Source organism: Homo sapiens, chromosome 6, assembly GCF_000001405.40.
Source record: "Homo sapiens chromosome 6, GRCh38.p14 Primary Assembly".
Lineage (NCBI taxonomy): Eukaryota > Metazoa > Chordata > Mammalia > Primates > Hominidae > Homo > Homo sapiens.
Genome location: NC_000006.12, coordinates 27,891,810 through 27,911,175, shown reverse-complemented (window position 1 = coordinate 27,911,175; position 19,366 = coordinate 27,891,810). Strand labels below are relative to the sequence as shown.

Here is a 19,366-nt window from a genome sequence, read left to right as displayed (position 1 = left end):
GCACCAAAAACTGTAATCACAACATTTTCAAGGGTTGTCACACTTTACATCAATGTTTGTACAATTCAGTGTAAACTAGACCTTTCTGATCCAGAAATCATCTCTTCAGTAATACACACACGCACACACACATACATACATACACACACACACATAGAAACAAAGATGTAAAGGGAGCTTTTGAGAGGTTGCTTGCAAGGGTGTTAATAAAAAAAAAAGGAATTCTCAAATTATAGGCCTTTTAAAGACTTCAATTTTACATAGCTTATAATTTAATTCTCTCCAAATTGCTTTATTATTACTATTCTTAGAAAAACTATTATAGTGATCTTCAAATAAAATGTCGACAGAGAACTATATCTGTTTTCTACTGCCTAAATATATTCATTGCACAAGTCTTAAGAACTGATCTTTTATGAACTCTCAAAATAGCATAGCCTTGAAATCTTTAAGGTCTCAAACATCTTAGCACTAGTCTGTATACATCGGGAAGAGACTTAGACTTCTCTGAAACCAGAATAAAAGCCAGAAACAAAACATTTTGATACATATACACATGTCCTCATCCTTACACACACACACACACACACACACACACACACAAACTCCATGGCACAAATTATTTTTCAGACAATTGTAGATCTAACAGAAGTATCCAAAACCTTGTCTTAATTTTCTCTATAAGTTTAACAGCCCTAGCTTAAATTTTAACACTATTCGCACATCAACACAATACTAAAATCCACAACAATTCTGCACTCCCCAGTTTTACTTAGATCTTCTGTTGTTTCTGTACTTCCCACTTCTAAGTTGAAGTGTCCTATTCCATCTATCAAATAAAGTTGTAGCTACATTTTAGACTGAAATCGAATGCCTGCTTTTGACCTTTTAAAATGATTCCTCTACTGTATATATTATCTCTCTCCTTTTAACCTCGAAAGCACTTATAGGGGCCGGGCGCGGTGGCTTATGCCTGTAATCCTAGCACTTTGGGAGGCCGAGGCAGGCGGATTGCCTGAGGTTAGGAGTTCAAGACCAGCCTGGGCAACAATGGTGAAACCCTGTCTCTACTAAAATACAAAAATTAGCCAGGCATGACCGCGTGCGCCTGTAGTCCCAGCTACTTGGGAGGCTGAGGCAGGAGAATCGCTTGAACCCAGGAGGCGGAGGTTGCGGTGAGCTGAGGTCACGCCATTGCACTCCAGCCTGGGCAACAGAGCGAGACTCCATCTCAAAAAAAAAAAAAAAGAAAGCACTTACAGGTTAAGTCATTAAAAAAGCACATTATATAATGATGTCCACAGCTTGTTTAATGCACATTTCTTGTACAAAAAGAAATGCTTATTAATTTCATGTTAGTTCCCTTGAGGTAGCATAGATCATAATTTCAACTTCTTCCATATGGCCTTCAGAGCCCATAAAAGTGCTAAAGAAAATAAACACTATAAGTTTGTTATTTCGTTGACTTTGTGAGTTACGCTATAATTATATTAACTGCTTCTTCATTATTATTCTTTTTCCAATTTTTTCCTTTATCAAATATGTCATAAAAGTATAAAATGCAATAACTAAGAAATACAATTAGAATGTTTTACTTGAAAACCTTACAGTAACAACATAAATTTCAGCATAATTCTAACCCAACATGGTGGATCTTAAAACTTTAACTTGCATCAGAATCATCTGTAGAGCTTTTAAAATTCAGATTGGTGGGGGTCACCTACCCCCAGACCTTCCAATGTAGTAAGTCTGGGGTGGGGCCTGATAATTTGCATTTCTACAAATTTCCAGGTAACACTTATGTTGCCTGTCAGGAGACCACACTTTAGGAACAGCTGTGCTAACAGTTAAAATAAATAAAGTTATGTTGCTTGTTGAGTTTCTATCCTTTATTTTTAGAAATGAGTTATAACTTAAAGGAAAAATAGGAGCAAAACACTAATAGAGTATATTGAAATATGAGGGGACATTCCTTAATAAAAATGCATTCATATCTTAAAGTCCAACTAAATGATATACCAGATTTCCAGAGACAAATTTTGATGTCAGCTCAAAGGCAATGTCAGGGTCCTTTAAAGAATTATGAGAAAATAGTAGAGAAACCAGAGTGATGGAGATTGAAGTATTTTACATTTTTTAAAATGAGCCATCAATTGATCTAATAAATTGCATATTGGTAAGTTCTAAAGCCATATGACAAAATTTTATGTATATTTTGCCATCAGTTACTTGTGACTATATACATATATATTCTGGCTTCATTTAGAACGACAATTACTAAACTATTTTATAGAGGTATGTATAATAATTTTTTTTTTTTTTTTAGATGGAGTCTCACTCTGTCACCCAGGCTGGAGTATGGTGGCGCGATTTTAGTTCACTGCAACCTTCGCCTCCTGGGTTCAAGCAATTCTCCTGCCTCAGCCTATGGAAAGTAGCTGGGATTACAGGCAAGTACCACCAAGCCTGGCTAATTTTTGTGTTTTTGGTAGAGACAGGGTTTCATCATGTTGGCCAGGCTCGTCTTGAACTCCTGACCTCAGGGGTTCCACCTGCCTTGGCCTCCCAAAGTGCTGGGATTACAGGCGTGAGCCACTGCACCCAGCCTACAATTCTTGATTTCTGTTTTCTTTTTTTTAAATCCAATTTTTATTTTAGATTCGGGGGTACATTTGCAGGTTTGTTACCTGGGTATATTTTGTGATAGTGAGGTTTTGGGTATGATTGATCTTGTCACCCAGGTACTCAGCACAGTACCAACAGTTAGATTTTCAACTCTTGTCCCCCACCCTGCCTACCCACTCTAGTAGTCCCTAGTGTCTACTGTTGCCATCTTTATGTCCATGAGTACCCAATGGTTAGCTCCCACTTATAAGTGAGAACATATGGTATTTGGTTTTCTATTCCTGTGTTAATTAACTTAGGTTAATGGCCTGTAGCTGCATGTTGCTGCAAATGACATGATTTTTTCTTTATGACTCATAGTATTCTGTGGTATATATGTATACCACGTATATCTTTATCTAATTCACTGTTGGTGGGCACCTAGGTTCATTCCATGTCTCTGCTACTGTGAATAGTGCTGTGATAAACACATGAGTTCATGTGCTTTTTTGGTAGGATTTGTTTTCCTTTGGATATATACCCAGTAATGGAATTGCTGAGTGGAACAGTTTTAAGTTGTTTGAGAAATCCCCAAACTGCTTTCCACAATGGCTGAACTAATTTACTTTCCCACCAACAGTGTATAAGTATTCGCTTTTCTCCACAGCCTTGCCAGCATCTGTTGTTTCTTGACTTTTTAATAATAGCCATTCCAACTGGTGTGAGATAATATCTCACTGTGGTTTTGATTTGCATTTCTCTGGTGATTAGTGATGATTAACATTTTTTCATATGTTTGTTGGCTGCTTGTATGTCTTCTTTCAAGAGGTGTCTGTTCATTTCTTTTGCCCATTTTTAATGGGTGTTATTTGCTTTTTGCTTGTTCAATTGTTTAAGTTCCTTAGAGATTCTGGACATTATGCCTTTGTTGGATGCATAGTTTGCAAATATTTTCTCCAATCCTGTAGGTTGTCTGTTTACTCTGTTGGCAGTTTCTTTTGCTATGCAGAAGCTCTTTAGTTTAATTAGGTCCCAGTTGTCAATTTTTGTATTTGTTGCAATTGCTTTTGAGGACTTAGTCATAAATTATTTCCCAAGGCCCATGTTCAGAATGGTGTTTCCCAGGTTTTCTCTTCTTCGATTCTTGTAGTTTGAGGTCCTACATTTAAAACTTGCATCCATCTTTAGTTAATCTTTGTGGTGACACATAAGGGTCCAGTTTCATCAGTTTCATTCTTCTGTATATGGCTAGCCAGCTATTCCAGCATGACTTATTAAATAGGAAGTCCTTTCTCCATTGCTTATTTTTGTCAATGATCAGATGGCTATATGTTTGTGACTTTATTTCTGAGTTCTCTATTCTGTTCCATTGGTCTATGTGTCTCTTTTTGTACCAGTACCACGTTGTTTTGGTTACTGTAGCCTTATAGGATAGTTTGAAGTCGGGTAATGTGATGACTCTAACTTTGTTCTTTTTTCTTAGGATTGCTTTGGGCAGTGGGGCGTTTTTTTGGTTCCATATGCATTTTAGAATAGTTTTTCTACTTCTGTGAAAAATGATGTTCGTAGTTTGGTAGGAATAGCACTGAATCTGTAGATTGCTTTGTGTGATATGACCGTTTTAACAACATTGACTCTTCCAATCCATGAGCATGGAATGTTTTTCCATTTGTTTGTGTCATCTATTATTTCTTCAGCAGTGTTTTGTAGTTCTTCTAATAGAGAATTTTTTTTTTTTTTTGCACAGAGTCTCGCTCTGTCGTCCAGGCTGGGGTGCAGTGGTGCGATCCCGGCTCACTGACTGCACCCGGCTCACTGCAAGCTCCGCCTCCTGGGTTCACGTCATTCTCCTGCCTCAGCCTCCAGAGTAACTGGGACTACAGGCGCCTGCCATCACGCCCGGCTAATTTTTTTGTATTTTTAGTGGAGGCAGGGTTTCACCGTGTTAGCCAGGATGATCTCAATCTCAATCTCCTAACCTCGTGATCCGCCCACCTCGGCCTCCCAAAGTGCTGGGATTACAGGCGTGAGCCACTGCGACCGGCCTAATAGAGGTCTTTCACCTCCTTCATTAGATGTCTTCCTGGGTAATTTTGTGTGTGTGTAGCTATTGTACATGGGATTGCCTTCTTGATTTGGCTTCAGATTGAACATTATTTCTGTATAGAAATGCTACTAATTTTTGCATGTAAATGGATCCTGAAACTTTACTGAAGTAGTTTATCAGTTCCAGGAGACTTTGGGCAAAGTCTTCAGGGTTTCTAGGGATAGAATTACATCCTCAGTGAACAGAGATAGTTGCACTTCTTTTTCTATTTGGATGTGTTTTACTTCTTTCTCTCGCCTGATTGCTCTGGCTAGGACTTCCATAAATCTTGATTTCCGAATAGAATTTGCAAACAATTCTTATTCTACTTCCGTACAATATGGAGCAATAATGACCAAAATGTGAAAGCAGTTCCATTTGTCCCTATCTTTTTGTAAAACCTCACTCAGAAGGTGATTAATAAAACACTATCACCATGAAAATATTATTATTATAAGACTTAAATGTTTTATCCTACTAGAATATGCACTTATAAATAACTTGCATGAATTTAAAGAGAACAGACTTCATAAGTTAAAAATGACACTAAACTTTGGGAAAGTAATAATTCCAAAGAAGTCAGAAATAAAATTAAAAACTAAAAGCAATAAATAAAAGGATGAAATTTCACGTAAATCAAGACAAACACATTTACTTCAATTATATACTACATAATAGTATTAATAGAAATATGATTGGCAGTGAATCCCATACCAGCTAAGACATATGGATAATAAAACATGTAGATTATTGGCTTTAGTTTGAGGATTTATATTTTAAGAGATACATTATAAAACTAAAATGCCTACACAAAATAATGACTAGAGAATTGAAAAATCAGAACATCATGCCTCTTGAAGAATTATTGAAGGCATTGATTTTTTCAATGCTGGGTAGAAAATGCTTTGTCAAATCATGAAGCAGTAGCTTTCTTCAGCTATTTAAAGGGAAATCATGTGCATAGCTTAGTTTGTTTCATAAAGGTTATAAATTCTACTAATGCATAAAAATTAAAAAGTAGATCTGAGCATGATATAAGGACACACACACACACAAATAGATGTTATACCATGATGAAATAGCTGACCATTTCTGGCAATGAGGGAAAATAGAATTCTATATAAAATAGAGATTGAATTAAACAATCTACCTAATGTCTTTCCTTTTTAAATTCTGTTTTAGGAATTTCCTTTTGTGAAATAACATTTGTGATAACAATTTCTGTTAATGACCAAAGAAACAAAAGCAGCAGAGAAAATGATAGATATAACTAAACCTTTGGAATAATGTCATGTAAAAGAAATTGAGTTGATTCCAAGGAAAGAACTGGATGGAAGCTATTCTGATTTAGCATACAGAAGTCAACGCTAGAAAACATGAAATGGCTTGAATGGGTAAATATCTGTGGAGATGATTTTCAAATATGAGAAGCAGCCCAAGGGAAGTTGGACTGCGTGACTTATAAGATCCCTTTCAAGATCCCTTTCCATCCAAAAAGTGTATGGCTCTGTCAACTACAATATAGGAGAAATTTGGTTAGATTTTAAAAAAACTTCCTGAAGATAAAAAATGGGGTATAATGGAATATTTAAATAAAGGATACAATGAAGTAATCAACTGTATCAGTTTCCTAGGGCTTTCATAACCAATTGCCATGTGCTTGACGGCTTAAAACAATAGAAAGTTATTATCTCACAGTTCTGGAAGCCAGAAGTCTGAAATCAAGGTACTAGCAAGGCCATGTTCTCTCTGGAGGGTGGTGGGTGGGTGGGCAGACGAGGTGTGGTGGTGGTGATGAACTTGTTTCTGCTTTTTTTGGTTTCTAGTGACTATGGGCATGCCCTGCTCGTCCCTGTCTTGTGGCCACATCACTCTCAGCTCTGGCTTCATTTTCATCTCTTTCTTTTCTGTGTGAGCCTCAGTCAAATCCCTCTTTACCTGTCTCTTACAGGGATTCATGATGGCATTTAGAATTCACTCAGATAATCTAGAATAAATCCCTCCTCCCAAGATTCTTAATCACATCTTTCTCCATATAAGGTAACATTTGCAGATTCCAGTGATTATCACGTAGACATATCTTTTGGGAAGGGCCATCATTCATGGTACTGCATCATCTGTATCACTTAGGGCTATATAGTCCATCATCTTCCAAAGAAAAGAGCATAAAATTTACTTTTGAAGGATCAGATTTTTTAAATTTTAGATTCTTAAGGAAATTAGCAGGAATCCAACTTTATTCCTACTTGTAGTATAATTACTATCTATCATGAGAATTTGTAAACTGTATACATTTTCCTGTTTAAAACAACAAACACATAGATTATATCATTTTTCAGTACATACACTGAGTTGACCACAGGGCAAAAATTGGTGAAAAAATAAAATCTTTTTTGCAGATATAAGAGATCGATATAGTTTTTTAAAAGGTGCATAAGTATTAGCACCATATGGATAGTGGAATTATTAGGAAGATAATACCGTCTGTCTCTCTGTGTATAATTTAAATATAGACACAAAATACACTGTCATATTTATCGTATTTTACTTTTCTAAATTATTTACATTGAGTAACAATCATATTCCCATAAATATGTCACAGGTTTTTTCTTTAAACATCATTTCCAGTACCAAAATGTGTCCCACATTATGCTCCAACAAAAAGACACGGATCATCAGACTGATAAAAAAGCAAGGCCCACTATATGCTGTCTATAAGAAAGGTGCTTTAAATATAAGGACATTCGCCGGGCATGGTGGCTCACGCCTGTAATCCCAGCACTTTGGGAGGCTGAGGTGGGTGGATCACTTGAGGTCTGGAGTTTGAGACCAGCCTGGCCAACATGGGGAAACTCCGTCTCTACTAAAAATATGAAAATTAGCAGGACACGGTAGCAGCACACCTGTAATCCCAGCTACTTGGAAGGCTGAGGCACTAGAATCGCTTGAACCCGGGAGGCGGAGGTTGCAGTGAGCCATGAAACGTGCTACTGCACTCCAGCCTGGGTGACAGAGGGAGACTCTGTTTCAAAAAATATATAAAATAAAATAAAATAAAATACATATGTGTGTGTGTATGTGTATATAAATGTATATATAATGACACACATAAGTAAATAGTAAAAGGTTGGAAAAGGTAGCCACAATAATATTAATCAAAAGAATTGGCTATATTATTATATATAGTCAGAGCAGGCGCCCGCGACCCGCGGGGCGGAGGTGCTGGCCCAGCCAGAGCAGTCCAACCTCGCCGCAGAGACCGTGCGGGAGCCGGGCCGCCCACACGTGGGCCAGCCTCCAGTGTTGCAGGAGACGCTTTGAAGTTACAGTGAAAGGGATTTTTTTCTTCCTGAAAAGAAGGGAAGAAGGCTCTATTAAGAGGCTCTATTCAATAAGAACGGAAAGCCACCTAAATATCTTTTTGAAAACACAGCCTATGGTATTAGTTGGATTCCTGAAAGACGACAAAGCCTTCCTAGAGACGACAAGGCTTCTTTTGTACGCGAGGCATTGGTGGTTCAGTGGTAGAATTCTCGCCTGCCACGCGGGAGGCCCGGGTTCGATTCCCGGCCAATGCAACGATGACGTTTTATTCTTGAAAACTACGTATTCTATTTCAGAAGGTGGATATTTTCCCTATGCCTTTTTTGCCTTACCCTTACATTTTGACTACATGATAAAGCAGGCAGGCCAGCGACATGCTGTTTTCTTACAGAAACATCGAGGGTTTTTTTTGCTTTCATAATGTTTGATACCAATACACGCTGAACTCATCCTCATGTTTGCAGCATAAATAGAACTAGTGGCCCTTGGTGGGGTGTGGAAATCAGATTTGTTTAACCATACCAAAAAACCAGAATCCCCACCAAGTTTTGAGGAAAACATCATAAAGAATTCACTGCAAATATCACTACCGTATAGAGCAGAGTGGCGCAGCGGAAGCGTGCTGGGCCCATAACCCAGAGGTCGATGGATCGAAACCATCCTCTGCTATTTTTTTTTTTTTCTTTTTCTAAAAAGATACTTACGACTTACTCTCACCAACCTTCCTTCCCTTGCCAGCTCACTCAAAGGAAAAGTGACAGCAAATGGAAGTATTCACATGCCTTTGAGGAGAAAATCAGGAAGCAGCTTTCAGTTAAGAAATTAGAGGTACCCCATCTTAAAGAGCAGGAATTGATACTAAGTCCATGAGCTGAAATATCTCCACCTCAGCATACTACCAGTTTGTAAACTATAATTTAGTTTAGAGTTCCAAGTTTACAGGTAGCTAATTTTTAGAGATTCAGTTAAAGAGAACTGGAAGTATTTATTTTATTTTTATTATTTTATATTATATTATATTTTATATTTTATTTGAGACGGGGCCTCACTCTGTCACTCAGGCTGGAGTGCAAGTGGTGCGATCATAGCTCACTGCAACTTCGAACTTGTGGGCTTAAGCAGCCTTCTGAGTAGCTGGAGCTACCGGTGCTCCCCACCTAGCCCAGCTGAATTTTTTTCTTTTTTTTTTTTTTGGAGAGATGTGGGGTGGGAGGAAGGTGTCTCACTTTTTTTGCCCAGTCTGGTCTCAAACTCCTGCGCTCAGATGATTATCCTGCCCTGGCCTCCCAAAGTATTGGGATTATAGGCGTGAACCCTCTCGCCAGACCGTGAAGTTATTTTGAATAACAACTCTTCCAAAAAATGTCTTGCTCCTAGTCTGTTTTCTTCCTTAGCACTTATTACTATGCAGCATATTGTGTCTTTATTGATTTAGTATTTTCTCTCTCATGGGAAGTAAATTTACAAGGACAGATTTTTGTGTTTTGGCATTGTGGTTGCCATCATACCTAGAACAAGTCCTGGCACATCTTAGATACTGGTGAGTTGGTAAATATTAGTTAATAGCCACAATTTCCAATTCACCAAACCGAAACATCAGTATTCCTCATTACTCACGATCTTATTTCACCTTTTAAAAAAGTATAGAACAGTTCAAAAGTGACCACATGGATTTGATCTATTATTTAACATCATGACATGTAAACTACAAGTCTCTTTTATATTTAGAGAAAAGAGGAAAACACTCATGAAATTTAAGTATTCTTCAACTCCATCCCCAGACCTGTTATCGACTTTCTCAGGTCAAGTCTATTATGACTTTGATGTTCATCTGTCCCATTTCATTTTCACTCTTGCTTATATATAGGCCCATGGCAATACAATTTTTTTTCTGAGACGGTCTTGCTCTGTCGCCCAGGCTGGAGTGCCATGGCACCATCTCAGCTCACTGCAACCTCCACTTCCTGGGTTCAAGCAATTCTCCTGCCTCAGCCTCCTAAGTAGATGGGATTACAGGTGAGCACCACCACTCCCAGCTAATTTTTTTTATTCTTAGTAAGGACGGGGTTTCACCATGTTGGCCAGGGTGGTCTCAAACTCCAACACTGTTCTCAATAAGAAACTTTCTAATCACACAGATAATCAGAGGCACATGTGATTTATCTAAAAGAAAAAAAAAAAGCCAAGAAAAATGGAACTCTACTTTCTATTTTCTCCTGGATCCTATTTAAGAAATGAATTTTCAGTTTGTTCTTGGATATTGTGACTGCAGACAGAGCCTCCTTGCAAAGTAGTGAATTCAATTTACCTCCTAATCTTGTACAAGGCTGCCATTCTTCTTTCTGTATATAGTTTCCTATTAGCAAGCACGAAACTGAAAAGAGAGCAGCTATATAGAGATAGTCATTTTGTAAAGACAGACACTTTGGGGCCTGAGAGCACACTGTCACTGTATTGTGAAAGTTGTCAGAATCAAAATGTAATCACTAATGTTAAGAAAACTCTGACAAATAGATCCCAGGAAGGCCATGAGGAGTGGGTTTTTATATTTGTATGTCTGATCATAAAAACTATCACAAAACATTGTAAAAACCTCAACCTTGTATAAAGGCCCTTGCAAATTTACACAAAAATATTTTTATAAGGACATCCATCCAGTAACTGTCTGTCTAACCTTGAACTGGTGTTACCTTTGTTATTGATCTTGTCGATGAAAAGAGTCAAACCCTGTAAAATATTTGAAGAGATTTATTCTGAGCCAAATATGACCATGACCTGTGACACACCCCTCAGGAGGTCCTAAGAACACGTGCCCAAGGTGGTCGGGGCGCAGCTTGGTTTTATACATTTTAGGGAGGCAGGAGACATCAATCAAATACATTTAAGAAATACATTGGTTTGGTCCAGAAAGGCAGGACGCCGAGGCGGGGCAGGAGTATTGGGTGGGGGGTCAGGGTGGGGTGCTTCCACGCTACAGGTGAATTTAAACGTTTTCTGGTTGACAATTGGTTGAATTTGTCTAAAGACCTGGGATTGATAGAAAGGGAGTGTTCAGGTTAAGAACCTGAGACCAAGTTCTTTTGAAGTCTTAACAGTGGCTGCCCTTAGAGACAATAGATGATAACAAATGTTTCCTACTCAGATCTTAGTTAATCTCTTTAGGATTGGGAGGGTCTGGAAGAAAAAGATCTAGCTATGTTAATAGAGATTCTTTACAGACACAAATTTTCCCACACACAAAAAAACAATTTTGCAGGGCCATTTCAAAATATGGCAAAGAAACATGTTTTTTGGTGTAAAATATTTTGATTTTCTTCCTTGTCTCATAATGTTTTATGCCAGAGTCAGGTTGGAAAGTAAGTCATGATATATAGGGTTAAATAAAACCCATCTGATGAGAATTTATGATTTGTAGGGTATGACTCCCCAGACCCCTTAGATGGGAATTTGGGCAAGATAAAAATCAGAGTTTAGTCCTCAATCTTTATAGTCAAGGATAATTCTTTCTAAACAATTATGTAAATAATTGATTTTTTAACCTTGTCTTTTTTACCTTCTTATATACTCAACTTGTTTACTCTGGCATGCATATTCCCATTACAATGCTCTATTCCCCCAAAATATATTTTCTTTTAGAGAGCCTCCCTCTGTTATTTACGTTGGCAGTGTAGAACTACTTTTTCCATGATTGAAACAAATCTTATCATATGTCACATTTGTTAGTGATAGCTTCATGTGATCCATATGGATGAGATCTATTTTCAGAAGCCAACTATTTCTTCTGGAAGAGACTTTGGAAATCACTTTTAGTTGAGGAAAAAGAGACCAGGAAGAACAGACAATCCAGTAAATTACATAAAATGAGGTGATGGCAGCCAGGGTGAGTAGTGGATAGAACTTAAACTTTCTAATTCCTCAAATTATTAATCCTCAGTTGCCCATTTTATTCTTTTGGATGCCAACTAAAGAGATTTTCAAACCTCAGAATTTCTTAGACACACCTGGAGACTCCTTGTGTGGGAGACTATTTCTCTGGCCAAGAACTGGTCAGGTTTGGAGGAAAAGGGTACTGAGACTAGCTTTCCTCTCTCCCCACCTCCTTTCCACATTCATCACCGGAATCATTCAGCATTTTATCAACTCTTTATAACTTAAATTCTTTCTCTATTTAAATACAGGAGTAAGGAGAAAGGGGAGTTGGAGCGACCTAGGAAGGGTACTATAATGAAAACAGGAATGGACTTTCAGAATAGATAGTGGCCTATCTGGAGGAGGAGCCAATTTCTAGTCTTTTCTCAGTTCCAATTCTGTTGCTGTTAAACTTCCCAAGATAGATAAAAATTCCTAGGAAGAATTTTCATGATTAATTGACTTCTTTCTCCTGGAGAATCTGCATTTAGTCAAATAAAGGAGATTGAGAAAAAGCCCCTCTCTGTGCATTTGCTATTTCCCAAATAACTTTAGTGGGAAGTAATCAGCATAACAATGCGGCATACTTTGGGATGATATTTCCTGGACTCCTTCAGTATACATTATAGAGGCAAGAGGCCAGGCACGGTGGCTCACACATGAAAATCCCAGCTTTCAGAGGCCAAGGTGGGTGGATCACTTGAGTCCAGGAGTTCCAGACCAGCCTGGCCAACATGGTGAAACCCCTTCTATGAAAAGCACAAAAATTATCTGGGCATGGTGGTGCATACCTGTGGTCCCAGCTACTTGGGAGGCTGAGACATGAGGCTTAAGCTTGGGAGGTGGAGATTGCAGTGAGCCGGGATCATGCCACTGCATTCCAGCCTCAGCAACAGAGTGAAGGCAAAAAAAGGAAAAGAAAGAAAAACTCCTTGAATTACATTACACAGTAAAGGAAAGCTTCCCCTTCACCCTCTGAAGGTTTGCTGAAAATCACTGACTAAAGGCAGATGAATAGAAGAAAAAAAAATTATTTGATCACAGTTGTACGTGACATGGGAGCCCTTCAAAATGAAGGCCTAAAGATACAGGGGAAATTGTCCATTGTTTTTAAGGTTCTATAAAGTATGGACAGCCTTGTAGAAATGAATGGACATGAAGGGTAGGATCTAATGATAGTAAACAGAGTAGGGAAACCCAGCAAGGCCTGTCTGTCCAGATTCTTCTTGGCCTCTCTGAGCAGCATTCCTTCCTTCTGGGTATGGGGCAGGTCCCTCTCTGGAATAGGGGTCTTATGACCTACAGTCAAACAAGGTAGGGCAGATAATTTCTGACCATAAATGGCCAGTTTTCATACAAAAAGCCTTGGGGAATAGGGTGGGTGAGGGGAGCTAGAGTAATATTTGTAGGTTTTACGGCTGGCTTTGGGGAAAAAGGATTCTGGTTTTTATGACCTGCCTTGGGGAAGAGAGATTCTAGTTTCTGTGGCTAACCTTGAGGGAGAATGATAGATCAGAGACGGAAGGGCAGGAGGTCAGGGAAAAGCTTCTGCTTCTGAGGCTGCTGCTGAGGCCTTCATTTTGGGTTATAGTTTCTGAGCCCCAACAATATATCAAAACATCACACTCTGTCAAAAATGTATACAATTATGATTTGTCAATTAAGAATAATATTAATAATAAAAAATAGTGTTACAGCTCTTTTAGAATTTGTCTAGCAGGCCTTCTGGTTTTTGCTGGGAAGTCCCCACCCCCACAAAGAATAACATTAATAAAAAAGTAAGAAAATGTAACATAAATAGAAAAGAACTGGCTTATTTACCCAGGTAACTACTCAATCCACAATGAACAACTCCAAATACCTTTCACCACTTTTACCTCATAGCTGTGAGAACTGAATTTTTTGTTTTTTCTTTTAGTTCACTGTATCTGTTTACTTAACTAGCAGAAAATAACTCTTCAATGCCTGATGTATGTGAGGCCTGATGCTTTATCCAGAGGGGCCAAGTGAGGAATGAATTATTTTCAGCTGAGAATTTAGAAAGTTGGGAAGGCCGGGGCATTTGATCTGGGCCCTGATGGCAGAAAGAGCAGCTTGGTGAAAAGCTTGTCATGGATACAGGAGTCTTTGTTAATGTCCAGAGATCTCAACTTCAAGGATGAAGGGCTTCATGAGATCTCTACTTTAGAGGTGAAGGACTTGATGAAGTCAACAGACATTTTTTTTTAATAGTCTGTACCATGATATATATATTTTATTAGCTCTCAGTATTGAAAATTTATAATATTTCACATTAAGCTGCATATACTCTTGAAAAATTGGAAGTCACACTGTCCTTGTGCTTGCATTGCTAGAAGGGAGAAATCAGTGAAATCAAATTGCACAGGTTTTGTCTTCAGTTCTCAAGTTACCACTGGTCCTGTTAGTTTCCATATTAGTTGGCATTTATCAATATGCTTGTGCTATGGTTGTTCTTACAGCAGAATTAAGAAAACAGTGAAATATATCTTGGTCAAGTATCTCTATCAAAACTGGAAAAATGAAATATGCCAGAAGTCTGGGTGTTTCAAGAAAAATAGCAAATAGCACCTCTCTTTATAGAGATAAGGCGTGCTTTTTAATATCCAGCTGTTTTTGCTCTAATGTGCTGGGCCTTTGTTAGCAACTGACTTTTAACTTCTGGTTTAAGGAATATCATAACTGTCACCTTATCTGCAAATTAAGCTAAATGTAGATATTTTATAAAGGAGAACTTGGAATAGAAAGTCGGGATGAAAGCATGGAAAATGGTCTTAAGTGCTGTTATGGACTTCATTGTGTTCCCCCAAAACAGACCAGGTGCAGTGGCTCGCGCCTGTAATCCCAGAACTTTGGGAGTCCAAGACCAGCCTGGACAACATGGTGAAACCCTGTCTGTACTAAAAACACAAAAATTAGCTGGGCGCTGTGGCAGGTGCCTGTCTGTAGTTCAGCTACTCAGGAGGTTGAGGAAGAAGAATCACTTGAACCCAGGAGGTGGAAGTTGCAGTGAGCCGAGATTGCGCCACTGCACTCCAGCCTGGGCGACAGAGTGAGACTCTGTCTCAAAAAACAAAACAAAAGAAAACAACTTCATGTCGAAGTCCCAGCCCTCAGTGTGGTTGGTATTTGAAGACAGGGCCTTTAAACAGATAATTAAGGTTAAATTGAGTTGTAAGTGTGGGGACTTAATCTAATAGAACTAGAAAGCACGATCGTATTATTATTTATTTTAGGGTATAAAGCATTTTGGCTTTTTTTATTTGTTTATTTCTTTTGGACAGCTCTGACCAGATCACAAAGCTCAACAGGACTTTCTCCTTTACCCACTCCTCGCTCTTCCTATTAACTCCCCCGCCCCCCTCCCGCTCCCTTTTAACCTCCGCACTAACAACTCTTGAAGAAACTTGAATCCTGCAATTAAAAGGAGTGAAAAATGGAAACCCTGCCCTAGCCCACTGACTCAGTAGAAAGTTAAGAAGAAAGCATTTTAACTGGGGCTGGAAAACACAACGCCTTGAACTTGTGCTTTTGCTTTTTTGCCACAAGATGGCAGGAGAAGGCCACACGTACTCTCTCACCCACTCGGAGGATAATCACCCCTCAGATGTTCTCTCAAGGACGCGGGATGGGCAGGGAGAAACGAATCTCGAAAAAGAGAGCGAAGAGGAATGAAAGGAGGGGGCAAATGTGATGCCAAGTTAAAGAACATGATGAAATCAGGGGACTGCTCTCCAAGTAACTTAGCTTGTCGATAAGCTCTGTCGCCAAGCCCGAGGCACCAAACTTTAATGACAAGGTACGGGGACTGGGGAAGAGAACATTTTAGGGAAGTGAACGGCAAATCCTACAATGTATTTTGAACGACCCACTAACCAATTGGCATAATTCGGGGCTGTTTGTCACCTGTGACAGAGACGAGACTATTCGTCCGAGATAGCCTTCCACCCATAGCTGCAAAGGAAGTGACGTCAGGAAAATAAAGGAAAAGTTAAGGGGTGATTTTAAAGCCTGGAGTGGAATTGTGGAGGGGCTTGCTATTTTGCTGCTAAAGATTTACAATAGAAGTAATTTATTGAAGAGGGGATAACGCAGTGGCAGAGGATGCAATGCTATGAGAATTCAGGCACTGTTGAGAAGAGGGGATCATGCCTTGAAAAGTCTCCACTCCCTTGTACTCGCACGCTCTTGGTTTACCTCCTATTTCTGTGATCTCTTCTGGGGTCCGCTTCTCTTTAAACGCGGGGTTCTCCAACTTCTATCTCAGGATTCCTAATCATGGACTTTAAAATCCCAGCCTGAACGCTGCCCCCGCCCCAGCTAATCCTGGCACACCTCCCTCCCCAAGGCCAACTGATTAACATTGCAAAAAAGCGGCTTTCCCAAGTTGCCAGGTTCTTTGTTCAACATTTTATCCTAAAGGAGCTTCCTTAGCCTTTAATGTTTCCCGTCCCGCTTTGACACCAATAATTTCAACCCACCCTAACATATCTGCAGCGATGCCAGACGAGATGCCTATTCTCTAAAGTGTATGGAAAATGGACACCGGTAAGTCAATGTCACCCAGGATCCGTACAACTGCAGTAAGAGGGACGGTTAATTCACAGCTTCCAGCTCTTGGCGCCAGAGTCCGATGCACTCCTGCAGATAACGGTCATTTCCATTCCGGGAGAACCTCTTCGAAAAACAACCCGGATGAGACTATCTGGCAAATTGCAGCCCTTGGCGGGCTTTTCAAATAGAGCGTTGACCAATCAAAGAAGGGGGACGTTACAGGCACTGAAAGAATAACCCGGCCGCGCGCGATGGCTCACGCCTGATATCCCAACATTTTGGGAGGCCGAGATGGGTGGATCACGAAGTCAGGAGTTCGAGACTAGCCTGGTCAAGACGGTAAAACTCCGTCTCTACTAAAAATGCAATAATTAGTCGGGCACGGTGGCGGGCGCCTGTAATCCCAGCTACTTAGGAGGCCGAAGCAGAATTGGTTGAACCCGGGAGACGGAGCTTACAGTGAGCCGAGATCGCGGCACTGCACTCTATCCTGGGCGACAGAGCCAAGACTCCATTTAAAAAAAAAAAAAAAAAACAACACAAAAGGAAAGAGTAACCGAAAACCGAAAGCAAACTTGTAATTATAGCTTAAAGCACAACTGCAAGCCTTTTTCCCCAAGGGTATCTAAGAACCCAAGCTAAATTTGTCTGATGGAGCGTCTATACTCACACGCAAAAAGCCTAGGGAGCTTAGCTTACCTTTTCCCGCCGTCTTCCCTCCTAATGGAGGCCGGCCGGAGTCCACCCAAAAGACTACAAGCAAAATGCACAGGCTCTTTCTCTGGAAGCGTGAGTGGCTCTGAAAAGAGCCTTTGGATTGCTGGCAGCTGCGAGAGCTCACTTGGAGCTGGTGTACTTGGTGACGGCCTTTGTGCCCTCGGACACGGCGTGCTTGGCCAGCTCCCCGGGCAGCAGCAGGCGCACGGCCGTCTGGATCTCCCTGGAGGTGATGGTCGAGCGCTTGTTGTAATGCGCCAGGCGGGAAGCCTCGCCAGCGATGCGCTCAAAGATGTCATTGACGAAGGAGTTCATGATGCCCATGGCCTTCGATGAGATGCCGGTGTCGGGGTGGACTTGCTTCAGCACCTTGTACACGTAGATAGAGTAACTCTCTTTGCGGCTGCGCTTGCGCTTCTTGCCGTCCTTTTTCTGGGCCTTGGTTACGGCTTTCTTGGAGCCCTTTTTGGGGGCAGGAGCAGATTTAGCCGGGTCGGGCATGGCGGAGGAGAGTGAAAGAGCACTCAAATAACAAGAATGAGGACAAGCTGGGTTATGCCCTATTTATTTACAAGTCTATATGCAGATGAGATTGAGAAATTCTTCTGTCTGATTGGAAGTTACTCAGATGACGTTAATATCAATATAGTCCAATCAAAACACGTATATTCAGAAAGCTCATTTGCATTAAGAGGAAGCTGCAAGCTTAGCCAATGGCCCAGCTTCTTTTTCGCGCCCAGCAGCTGCTATAAAATGCGCGTCCCTGTAGGTTCCTTTCACTCACTTTCTGACTTAGGCCACAGGTCGTTTTACCATGTCTGGACGTGGCAAGCAGGGCGGCAAGGCTCGCGCCAAGGCCAAAACCCGCTCCTCTAGAGCTGGGCTCCAATTTCCTGTAGGACGAGTGCACCGCCTGCTCCGCAAGGGCAACTACGCTGAGCGGGTCGGGGCCGGCGCGCCGGTTTACCTGGCGGCGGTGCTGGAGTACCTAACTGCCGAGATCCTGGAGCTGGCGGGCAACGCAGCCCGCGACAACAAAAAGACCCGCATCATCCCGCGCCACTTGCAGCTGGCCATCCGCAACGACGAGGAGCTCAACAAGCTGCTTGGTAAAGTTACCATCGCTCAGGGCGGTGTTCTGCCTAACATCCAGGCCGTACTGCTCCCCAAGAAGACTGAGAGCCACCACAAAGCTAAGGGCAAGTAAGGGCTGAACTTTAAAAATGTAAACTTACAAGACAAAAGGCTCTTTTCAGAGCCACCCACCATTTCTACGGAAGAACTGAGCACTCTGTTCTCCAAACCTATCAGAAATTTGTGGCCGAGTTCAAGCACTGAGGCCATTACTTTCCTATTGGGTAAAATAAAAGTATTGAATCAGGCCTAGTAAATACTATCCAACTGCTACCTTATAACATGAAGGAACCTCCTTAATTGTCCCCTCCCCACAAACTGTCCTGGGTCTTTAAAAAACTTGGGGCCGGGCGCGGTGGTTTATGCGTCCTTAGCATTTTGGGAAACTGAGGCAGGTGGGTGGGGAGGGGAGAAATCTCTAGGGACCTGGAGTTCGAGACCACCCTGATAACGAGACCCCTGCCTCTTAAAAAAAAAATGACTGGGCGCGGTGGCTCACGCCTGTAATCCCAGCACTTTGGGAGGCCGAGGAGGGTGTATCACAAGGTCAAGAGATCGAGACCACCCAGGCAAACATGGTGAAACCCTGTCCCTACTAAAAACACAAAAATTAGCCGGGCGTGGTGGCGAGCGCTACTAAGGAGACAGGCAGGAGAATCGCTTGAACCCAGGAGGCAGAGGTTGCAGTGAGCCGAGATCACGCCACTGCACTCCAGCCTGGGCGACAGAGCGAGACTCCATCTAAAAAAAAGAAAGAAAAAAAATACCAGGCGCGAGGCCCTCGCCTGTATTTGGCGGACTGACAGCAGAAGGAACACTTGAGTCCCAGGAATTTGAGATTTCAGTGAGCCATGACCTCGCCACTGCACTCCAGCCTGGGTGACAAAGCGAGACCCCGTCTCAAAAAAAGAAAAACAAAACCCAAACAAAAGTATTTCTGGTGATCATTTGCTCCTGTGAATATAATAAATGTTAAACTAACCTTTTTGTTGTCTTTATGGGTCTTTATCAATACCAGAA

At 40.8% G+C, this 19,366-nt stretch overlaps 2 protein-coding genes, 2 non-coding genes and 1 pseudogene across 4 annotated transcripts, besides 9 other annotated features; 4 read left to right on the top strand and 1 right to left on the bottom strand.

Moving 5' to 3' along the window:
• Positions 7,774-8,846: a transcriptional cis regulatory region, noted in NCBI's record as "candidate enhancer chr6.1315 targeted for multiplex CRISPR interference". NCBI's record gives its function as "positively regulates OR2B6 gene expression with high confidence in K562 cells {active_cell/tissue: K562}" and the evidence as "EXISTENCE:mutant phenotype evidence [ECO:0000015][PMID:30612741]".
• On the top strand, positions 8,198-8,268 carry TRG-GCC2-3 (tRNA-Gly (anticodon GCC) 2-3). The gene has a single exon. It is a non-coding gene; the product is annotated as a tRNA-Gly (tRNA).
• On the top strand, positions 8,612-8,683 carry TRX-CAT1-7 (tRNA-iMet (anticodon CAT) 1-7). Its single transcript has one exon. It is a non-coding gene; the product is annotated as a tRNA-Met (tRNA).
• Positions 9,072-9,330: a transcriptional cis regulatory region, noted in NCBI's record as "candidate enhancer chr6.1314 targeted for multiplex CRISPR interference". NCBI's record gives its function as "positively regulates H2BC11 and H2BC12 gene expression in K562 cells {active_cell/tissue: K562}" and the evidence as "EXISTENCE:mutant phenotype evidence [ECO:0000015][PMID:30612741]".
• RNU7-26P (RNA, U7 small nuclear 26 pseudogene) lies at positions 13,611-13,670 on the top strand (annotated as a pseudogene).
• Positions 15,368-15,652: a transcriptional cis regulatory region, noted in NCBI's record as "candidate enhancer chr6.1313 targeted for multiplex CRISPR interference". NCBI's record gives its function as "positively regulates OR2B6 gene expression with high confidence in K562 cells {active_cell/tissue: K562}" and the evidence as "EXISTENCE:mutant phenotype evidence [ECO:0000015][PMID:30612741]".
• Positions 16,056-16,105: an enhancer, noted in NCBI's record as "active region_24339". NCBI's record gives its function as "activates an Ori minimal core promoter by ATAC-STARR-seq in GM12878 lymphoblastoid cells {active_cell/tissue: GM12878}" and the evidence as "EXISTENCE:reporter gene assay evidence [ECO:0000049][PMID:35858748]".
• Positions 16,988-17,127: an enhancer, noted in NCBI's record as "active region_24338". NCBI's record gives its function as "activates an Ori minimal core promoter by ATAC-STARR-seq in GM12878 lymphoblastoid cells {active_cell/tissue: GM12878}" and the evidence as "EXISTENCE:reporter gene assay evidence [ECO:0000049][PMID:35858748]".
• H2BC17 (H2B clustered histone 17) lies at positions 17,285-17,751 on the bottom strand. The gene has a single exon (NM_003527.4). It carries the CDS (start codon positions 17,711-17,713, stop codon positions 17,333-17,335), a length of 381 nt encoding a protein of 126 aa, NP_003518.2. The 5' UTR covers positions 17,714-17,751; the 3' UTR covers positions 17,285-17,332.
• Positions 17,518-17,757: an enhancer, noted in NCBI's record as "active region_24337". NCBI's record gives its function as "activates an Ori minimal core promoter by ATAC-STARR-seq in GM12878 lymphoblastoid cells {active_cell/tissue: GM12878}" and the evidence as "EXISTENCE:reporter gene assay evidence [ECO:0000049][PMID:35858748]".
• Positions 17,778-18,321: an enhancer, noted in NCBI's record as "NANOG-H3K27ac-H3K4me1 hESC enhancer chr6:27860633-27861176 (GRCh37/hg19 assembly coordinates)". NCBI's record gives its function as "activates a minimal SCP1, AML or CMV promoter by ChIP-STARR-seq in primed H9 embryonic stem cells {active_cell/tissue: H9 hESC(primed)}" and the evidence as "EXISTENCE:reporter gene assay evidence [ECO:0000049][PMID:30033119]".
• H2AC17 (H2A clustered histone 17) lies at positions 17,991-18,477 on the top strand. Its single transcript, NM_003514.2, has one exon. It carries the CDS (start codon positions 18,027-18,029, stop codon positions 18,417-18,419), a length of 393 nt encoding a protein of 130 aa, NP_003505.1. The 5' UTR covers positions 17,991-18,026; the 3' UTR covers positions 18,420-18,477.
• Positions 18,322-18,865: an enhancer, noted in NCBI's record as "NANOG-H3K27ac-H3K4me1 hESC enhancer chr6:27860089-27860632 (GRCh37/hg19 assembly coordinates)". NCBI's record gives its function as "activates a minimal SCP1, AML or CMV promoter by ChIP-STARR-seq in primed H9 embryonic stem cells {active_cell/tissue: H9 hESC(primed)}" and the evidence as "EXISTENCE:reporter gene assay evidence [ECO:0000049][PMID:30033119]".
• Positions 18,668-18,717: an enhancer, noted in NCBI's record as "active region_24336". NCBI's record gives its function as "activates an Ori minimal core promoter by ATAC-STARR-seq in GM12878 lymphoblastoid cells {active_cell/tissue: GM12878}" and the evidence as "EXISTENCE:reporter gene assay evidence [ECO:0000049][PMID:35858748]".